Source organism: Homo sapiens, chromosome 9 (genome assembly GCF_000001405.40).
Source record: "Homo sapiens chromosome 9, GRCh38.p14 Primary Assembly".
NCBI lineage: Eukaryota > Metazoa > Chordata > Mammalia > Primates > Hominidae > Homo > Homo sapiens.
Genome location: NC_000009.12, coordinates 128,984,345 through 128,993,524, shown reverse-complemented (window position 1 = coordinate 128,993,524; position 9,180 = coordinate 128,984,345). Strand labels below are relative to the sequence as shown.

The 9,180-nt window shown below is 45.0% G+C and overlaps 1 protein-coding gene across 1 annotated transcript in view; it reads right to left on the bottom strand.

The window, feature by feature from the left end:
• Positions 1–9,180, bottom strand: part of NUP188 (nucleoporin 188) — a 59,398-nt gene that overhangs the window by 13,572 nt on the left and 36,646 nt on the right. The window contains exons 20-26 of the mRNA NM_015354.3: positions 8,511–8,625; positions 6,847–6,967; positions 6,650–6,716; positions 5,808–5,936; positions 5,339–5,478; positions 3,299–3,405; positions 122–328 (exon numbers count right to left, since the gene is read on the bottom strand). Coding sequence (NP_056169.1) covers positions 122–328; positions 3,299–3,405; positions 5,339–5,478; positions 5,808–5,936; positions 6,650–6,716; positions 6,847–6,967; positions 8,511–8,625 — 886 coding nt within the window. The remainder of the gene's footprint in view (positions 1–121; positions 329–3,298; positions 3,406–5,338; positions 5,479–5,807; positions 5,937–6,649; positions 6,717–6,846; positions 6,968–8,510; positions 8,626–9,180) is intronic.

Genomic DNA, 9,180 nt, shown 5'->3' with positions numbered 1-9,180 from the left:
CTGCAAGAAGGGACAGGTAAGAGTTCAGTTCCACAGCCACTGCCAGCAGCTGTACTTGCAGAGCCCAGCATCTGCCTCCCAGTGAGCCAACTCCCAGTGTCATCCCAGGTTACAGGCTTACCTTTGAGCCATCACTGCCATCCTTAACTTCCAGGTTCAGAAACAGTTCGATGAGGCCTGGCTGGGTCTCTACTGCAACAGTGAGGAACTCTAGAATCATGACTTTGATGCGCATGTCCTCAATTTTGCTCTGCAATCGGGTCAGGAAGGCATCACGAATGGCAGCCGCATCATTGCCCAGACAAGCATACACTGACATTGGGGCCACCTGGTGGAGACCGGAACACACAGGCTTAGAGCTCTGCTTCCACAAAAACCTCAATGGGCTCCCACAGAAGGGCACTGAAGAGCTCCCAGAAAATTGGCAGAAAGGGAAGCATCCAGACTACAGCTCTGGGCTAAAAGGGACATCACCACAAACAAGCATGAGATGCCCGCAAATTCACAGGAAAGACAGTAATCAGTATAAAGAAATGCTCAACTTCCCTCATGGTTAAATAAATACAAACTGAAAAGTGAAACATTTTTTTGCTTATTAGATTGGCAAAGACTAAACAATGATGAAGACCTTGCAGCAACGATAGAATACTTGGTGTTATAAGTATAAACTGTTACAATGTTTTTTGGAAGGTAATTTGGAAATATCTAATAAAAAATATCATGTTCATTTATACCTACATAAATCTTTGGAACTGTAAACAAATGTTTACAGGGTGGTAGGGATAATAATGTTCACTGCAGCACTGCTTGTAATAGTGAAAGACAGAAAGTAGCGCAAATAAATCAGGATGCATCCATTCTAGGATGTGATATGCAAACATTAAAAAGAATGAAGGAAGTCCAAATTAAAAAAAGGAAAAAAGACAAAAAAGAATGAAGGAAGTCCAAATGTGCCTATGTGGCATGAAGCACATCAAGACTGCCTGATATGGTATCAAGTAAAGGAAGCCAGTCATAAAACAGTACCAGGGGCCAGGCACAGTGGCTCACGCCTGTAATCCCAGCATGTTGGGAGGCTGAGGCAGGCAGATCACTTGAGATCAGGAGTTCGAGACTAGCCTGGCCAACATGGCAAAACTTCGTCCCTACTAAAAATACAAAAAAATCAGCTGGGTGTTGTAGTGGGCGCCTGTAATCCCAGCAACCTGGGAGGCTTAGACAGGAGAATCGCATGAACCTGGGAGTGGAGGCTGCAGTGAGATCATGCCACAGCACTCCAGCCTGGGTGATGGAGTGGGACTGTCTCAAAACAAAAACAGTACCAGGAAGGGCTGGGCGCGGTGGCTCATGCCTGTAATCCCAGCACTTTGGGAGGCCAAGCGGGCAGATCACGAGGTCAGGAAATCGAGACCACGGTGAAACCCCGTCTCTACTAAAAAAAATACAAAAAATTAGCCGGGTGCAGTGGCAGGCGCCTGTAGTCCCAGCTACTCGGGAGGCTAAGGCAGGAGAATGGCTGAACCCAGGAGGCGGAGCTTGCAGTGAGCCGAGATCGCGCCACTGCACTCCAGCCTAGGCAACAGAGCGAGACTCCGTCTCAAAAAAAAAAAAAAAAAAGAAAGAAAAACAGTACCAGGAATTCTGCTTTTATCAAGAACAAAAGTACACACTCAAATACTTTTTTTTTTTTTTTTGACTCTGTCGCCCAGGCTGGAGCACAGTGGTGTGAACTCGGCTCACTGCAACCTCCACCTCCCGGGTTCAAGCAATTCTCCTGCCTCAGCCTACTGAGTACCTGGGACTACAGGCACACGCAGCCACACCCGGCTAATTTTTTTGTATTTTAGTAGAGATGGGGTTTCACCGTGTTGCCCAGGATGGTTTCAAACTCCTGAGCTCAGGCAAGCCACCCACCTGGGCCTCCCAGAGTCCTGGGATTACAGGCATGAGCCACCACGCCCAGCCCTAAATACCTTTATTATTTTATTTTTTGAGGCGGTGTCTCACTCTGTCGCCCAGGCTGGAGTGCAGTGATGTGATCTCAGCTCACTGCAACCTCTGTTGCCCAGTTTCAAGCGATTCTCCTGCCTCAGCCTCCTGAGTAGCTGGGATTACAGGCACCTGCCACCCAGCTAATTTTGGTATTTTTAGTAGAGGTGGGGTTTCACCATCTTGGCCACGCTGGTCTTGAACCCCTGACCTCATGATCCACCTGCTTCAGCCTCCCAAAGTACTGGGATTACAGGTGTGAGCCACAGCGCCCAGCCGATACTTTTTAAAATACAAGAACACAGATAAGAAATGTGGAGCACAGCCTTGGAGACATAGCCAGACCCTATTTCAAAAAAAAAAAAAAAAAAAAGAAATCTGGAGCATGGCATATCCCCCTGCCCATAGGGATTCTTGGAATAAGGAGATCATAGGGCATCTTAACTTTCTGTTACATCTATTTGTAACATTTAAATAAATATTTTACAATAAGCATGTCTTTTTTCTCCTTTTATCTTGAGACGGAGTCTCGCTCTGTCGCCCAGGCTGGAGTGCAGTGGCGTGATCACAGCTCACCGCAACTTCTGCCTCCCGGGTTCAAGCAACTCTCTGCCTCAGGCTCCCAAGTAGCTGGGATCACAGGCACCTGCCACCACGCCTGGCTAATTTTTGAGATGGAGTCTTGCTCTGTCACCCAGGCTGGAGTGCAGTGGCGCGATCTCAGCTCACTGCAAGTTCCGCCTCCCTAGTGCATGCCATTCTCCTGCCTCAGCCTCCCAATTAGCTGGGACTACAGGCGCCTGCCATAATGCCTGGCTAATTTTTTGTATTTTTCAGTAGAGAAGGGGTTTCACCGTATTAGCCAGGATGGTCTTGATCTCCTGACTCTGTGATACACCCGCCTCGGCCTCCCAAAGTGCTGGGATTACAGGCGTGAGCCACCATGCCCGGCCCCCTAATTTTTGTATTTTTAGGAGAGATAGGGTTTCACCATCTTGGCCAGGTTGGTCTTGAACTCCTGACCTTGTGATCTACCCACCTCAGCCTCCCAAAGTGCTGGAATTACAGGCATGAGCCACCGCACGCAGCCTTTTCTCCTTTTTTCTATATTAGAGATGGGGTCTCACTATGTGGCCCAGGCTGGTCTTGAACTCCTGGGCTCAAATGATCCTCCCACCTTGGCCTCCCAAAGTGCTGGAATTATATACAGGCGTTAAGCCGCTGCACGTGGCCTGAGCATGTCTTTTGTAATCAGGGGGAAAAAAACACCCTCATATAAACAGTGTGTGTGCATGAAGTACGATCCTACCGTGGCCAGACGTTTCAGCAGCTGAATGGCAAGACGTGGCAAAGCAGGGTCATGTTTGTGGTAGATGTATTTGGCTAGAACAGCAATGAGGTTGTTTCCATGAGCACCTAAAGCAGCACAGGAAACAGTTTAGATATCAAGTGTGCCTAATTCAAGTCCTTAGAGCACTGACTGTTCAAAAAAGACCCACAGTGTGTATGTGAAGGAATTTACCCTCAAGTACTTGGAGGGCCACAGCAAACCTAGGTGGCTGTATCCTTCTCTTGATTGAGGAGCAAAAGAATAGTCAGAATTTGGGGATAAACAGTTCAACCCAACTCATCGACAGCAAAGATACATTTTGAATAAAATAGGTGCTTATTTTATTAATTTTTATTTATTTATTAATTTTTTTTGAGACAGAGTCTCACTCAGTCACCCAGGCTGAAGTGCAGTGGCACGATCTCGACTCACTGCACCTCCACCTCCCAGGTTCAAGCAATTCTCCTGCCTCAGCCTCCTGAGTAGCTGGGATTACTGGCGTGCACCACCACGTCCAGCTAATTTTTAAAATTTTTAATAGAGACAGGGTTTCACCATGTTGGCCAGGCTGGTCTTGAACCCGACCTCAAGTGATCCACCCACCTCGGCCTCCCAAAGTGCTAGGATTACAGGCACCCACCACCATACCCAGCTAACTTTTGTATTTTTAGTAGAGATGGGGTTTCACTGTGTTGGCCAGGCTGGTCTCAAACTCCTGACCTCGTGATCCGCCCACCTCGGCCTCCCAAAGTGCTGGGATTAAAAGCGTGAGCCACTGCACCCAGCCTATCTTTTTTTCTTTTTGAGAGAGGGTTTCACTATGTTGTCCAAGCTGGAGTGCAGTGGCAAAATCATGGCTCACTGCAGCTTTGACCTGCCAAGCTTCAAACAATCCCCCAACCTCAGCCTCCTGAGTAGCTGGGACCACAGGCATATGCCACCAGGCCCAGCTACTTTTTTTTGTTTGTTTTGGTATAGATGGAGGTCTCCTTATTTTGCCCAAGCTGGTCTCGAACTCCTGGACTCAAAGTATCCTCCCCAGCCTCACCGTCCCAAAGTGCTGGGATTACAGACGTGAGCCACCATGCCCAGCCCTTTATTATAATCTTATTAGGAAGATACTACAGGCATCCATAATCTGAAAACCTCAAATTAGAGCACGGTGGCTCATGCCTGTAATCCCAGCACTTTGGGAGGCCAAAGAGGGCAAGTCACCTGAGGTCAGGAGTTCGAGACCAGCCTGGCCAACATAGCGAAAGCTCGTCTCTACCAAACAGAACAAAACAACAAAATAAAACAAAACAAAACAAAAATTAGCCGGGCGTGGGACAGATGCCTGTAATCCCAGCTACTCGGGAAGCTGAGGCAGGAGGATTGCTTAAACCCAGGAGGCAGATGCTGCAGTAAGCCGAGATTGCGCCACTGCACTCCAGCCTGGGCAACAGAGCTAGACTGTCTCAAAAAAAAAAAAAAAAAAAAAAAAAAATTAAAAAATTAAAAAAAATCTGGAATGTGTCAAAATCTCTAACTATAGCTCAAAGGAAATGCTCACTGGAACATTTTGGATTTATGCTAAACTGGTAAGTATACTGCAACTATTCCAAAATATGAAAAAAAAATCTGAAACCCAAAACACTTCTGGTCCCAAGCATTTCAGATAAGGGATACTCAACCTGTACCATTATCCCCATTTTACAGATGAGAAATCAGAGGCAGAGTTGTTTAATAACGTACCCAAGGTCACACAGTTGATTGGATACAAAATTTGAACCAAGGCAGTCTGACTTCAAATCTGCATTCTTAACTATTATTCTATCATCAATAGGAGGCAGAAATAAAGTACCATCTAGTCCTTTTGTTTCCAATTTCAGGAAAGGAGCTGGTAATCATTCCCAAACTTCCTCAAGAAGCAGAAAATACTGTTGACATCCAAAAACACTGCCTAAGATACGTATTTATGAGCAAAAATGACTGGAAGAGAAATACATACCATGTTGTGACTGGAAGAGAAATACATACCATGTTGTGAGAGAGCCTGTTCCAGGGGGGACACCACATTAGAAGGAGGTTTCAGCCGAATAACATTGTTGGTGACGGAGAATGCCAGTTTCACTGTCTTGATCAGCAGCTGGCCCTGCCCCTGGCCCTCTGCCCCATCACTAGGGTGCCAAATGGAAACCAAAGATGATTCAGACAGTATGACTTCATTCGCAATATATGTGCTCTCATGAATTAGATTCCAACAATAATCCCAGAGTTCAACAGCTTCTGTTAGAGGCCCCAGTCCAAACTAGGAGAGAGGAGGAGTAATCAACTCCCTTTGCTATACGCCAATCTATACAGCAGCCACTAGGGTATGTAAAGGCTATGTCCTAGGAAGAACAATGTCGTCTTCTAAAAGCTACTGCAAGTTAACTTAAACTGGAGTTATTAGTAACATGCAGGCACAATAAAGACAGACAAAGGGAACGTGGAGAAGGAGCCCTACCTTCGAGGCTGAGCAGCCATCACCATGTCAATGGTGTCCACGCCAATGCCCATGATATTGATAACTGTCTGTCCTGCTTCTGTGTATGCCAGGCTGCAGATGCAGAGAAACTGCAGGCTGGGAGTATGACTGGAAGACAGAGGTATTCTGAGTTACCAGGGAGCCACTCAGTGTATCTTGGAAGGAAGGGCATTGTCCAATTAGGCTAGGGTGGCTAACCTAACCTACTGGACACTGGAGACCAGCTCTCTGCAAGCTGAAGGCACTCTGATCACTTTCCTGAAACAGACTTGATCACCTAAAGATCACCCTGAGAAGCAATCTAAATGTCCATCAAGTAACAGATACAGCTACTGAAAAGGATCATAATTAATCCATATGATGGAATGCATAGAACCATTAAAATAAGACATCTATAAGCAGTAGCATGGAAAGAAAGTTACAGTCAATACAGAAAGAGGAAAAAACCAAGAATACATAGTAACTGGCCCTGGGATGCAGATATATATGAAGAGTGTCTCGTCAGGAATGAACTTTTGTAACGATCATAAAGAATGATTAATATATTAGTGTATGTATACACATACACACACACACACACACACACACACACACACACACACACACACTCTCTCTCTCTCTCTCTCTCTCTCATTCCTACTTCTCTGTCCACAGTGAGAAATGATAAACAGGCCAATGGAAAGCAACTAACAACCTCAAGATTACTGAGTTCTGGGCTCAAGCAAGGTAAATTCTCTGGAAGAACTGAGACGGCTTTGCACAGCAAAAGCCCGTGTCTTGCCTTGGCGAGCACCAAGCTCTAGTAATCAACCCTTCATTACCTGCTGTGCAGGTCTGTCTCGTGGCACAGGTTCAGTATCGCATGAATCAGCTCCAAGATCAGGCAACCTGGACTCCAGAAAAGACAGAGGAATGATGTGGCCTTGTGAAATGACCCCTTATCTCAAGAAAGGGAAAGAAAAAAGCTCTCCAGTGGGGCCAGAAATCCCCAGGTCTTCCCTGCCCATGCTGTCCTTACCAATCTGTTCCCTCACTCCATGAGAGTTGTAGCGCCACTTATGGTAGCTGGGAAGCATCTCCTTCAGCACAAACATTACACAGGGTACAAGTCCTTGGCTCTGGGTACTACCAAGTTGCCCCTACAAGAAACCATGCAGTGAGGACTTCCGCACATTTAAGGAAAAGTCATTTAGTTACCTAGAGATTTAATTCCAAAACCATAGATAGGTCCAAAGGAAATCTAGGCAAACCTTGGTCATCAATGAAAAAAAAGAAACATCAAAAGTCCTACTTTATAGTTGAGCCCAAGTTGTGGGTCTTTTCTAGAATAGAAAAAGTGATGAAAGAGAATGTCACAAAAGGCACCAACACGAAGAAAAGGGATGCAGGCTAAATCTGGACAGAAGGGAGGCACCTTAAACATAAAGGATAGAGGATTGCTGATGATGAACAATGCCACTTCACTATCATGATTGCCAGCCGTCCCTAACCTCAATCCCATCACTGAAATACTAGAAAGGAGATCTGATATGCAAAAATCTGATACCCAATGATATCTGTTAACTGTAGCATCCTTCTACTAAAAATGGGGACTCTTTAGTTATATATAAATATCTATATATTCCTATCTCTATATGCAATCTTTTTTTTCGCCCCCAAGATGGAGTTTCACTCTTGGCACCTAGGCTGGAGTGCAATGGCGTGATCTCGACTCGCTGCAACCTCCGCCTCCCAGGTTCAAGCAATTCTCCTGCCTCAGCCCACTGAGTAGCTGGGATTACAGGCGTCCACCACCACGCCCAGCTAATTTTTGTATTTTTAGTAGAGATGAGGTTTCACCATGTTGGCCAGGCTGGTCTCAAACTCCTGATCAGCCTCAGGTGATCCATCCGCCTCGGCCTCCCAAAGTGCTGGGATTACAGGCATGAATCACTGCACCCAGCCTACAATCATTTCTTTTTAAGCATTCATTGATTCCTGCAGGCAGGAAGTATAGTTTTTTTCATGCATGACCCTCTTCTCAATCCCATGAGGTAGAGACCATATAGCATTCTGTTTTAGAGACTCTTAAGATATTCTTTACTTGCTCAAGGTCATGCAGCTAGTAAGCTGTCAACCTGAATGTAAACCTAATTCTGACTCCAAAATTTATGCTCTATGTCATTATTTATGCTCTATGTCAGTATTTTTCAAACCGAGTTGTAACCCATTAGTAGATTATGAGATCAGTCTATGGTCAAAATTCACTTAAATAGGGAGGAGACTGAATAGAAAATATCAGGGTACAACTTGTGTGGTAAGAATAAATGTTGTGAAATAAACTGTGAAATTTTGCTTCAGGAATATACACACATGTATATATACTGGGATATGATATTATCCCAGGTTACTGTCAAAATAGCTTGATAGTAACTGCAATACCCTTTTGGCCTCTTCCATTCTACTTCATAAACCTTCCAATCATTAAATAAATTCACATAATTAAGCACCTAATAGAGTACATAACTGGCACATACTAGGTACTCAATACATAGAAACTGTTGTCACTGTAACTTCAAGATGACTATTCTGCCTACAGACAAGAAGATTACAGCACCAGGGGCCAGGGAAACTATTTCAGAGTCATCTGACAAGACTGGACCTTTTCTTTTTCTGCCCTTTGTGAACAAAATCAGACTGTACCTTGACAAGGGTGGTGATCAAGCGCAGAAAGGCAATAGTAACCCCATACTCGCCCTGAGGCTGTTCACTGTTCATCAAGAGGTTTCCGTACCCTCCAGCATTCATCCCTTCCGCACTGGAAAAAGAAGTAGAGGGAAAAAAAATGATAGGGAAATTTCAAGGTTTCAAGAAACTAATCATAGAGCATTCTTGTTATAGTCTAGATGACTTGAATATAAAATAGAAAAGCTCTCCAGTGGAAATAATCCAATCAAGACAGTTCTGTACCCAGGGTAAACATTAAGAACATGTTTTATTGATGTAAAACCTAGATTGAAAGTAAAAAAATCAAAGGAACATCAGGGAAACATTTTTGTCAAGAGACAGCAAGGCGAGAATGCTCAGGTAGTAAGATGGAGCCTGTGTACTGGTAAGTGGTCTACTGGCTGAGCTCGAGAACCCATGAAATGAGAAAAAGTACAGAGTGATTGTGGCTTAATAACGGGACACCAAGTCCCTGAATCTAGAAACCTCTGGATTTTCTGGGCTGGAAAGTAAATGCTCACATACTAACGTGATTGATGTTGGATAAGAAATCTCTCTTGCTCTCGGCCGGGCACCATGGCTCATGCCTGTAATCCCAGCACTTTGGGAGGCCAAGGCAGGCGGATCAGTTGAGGTCAGGAGTTCG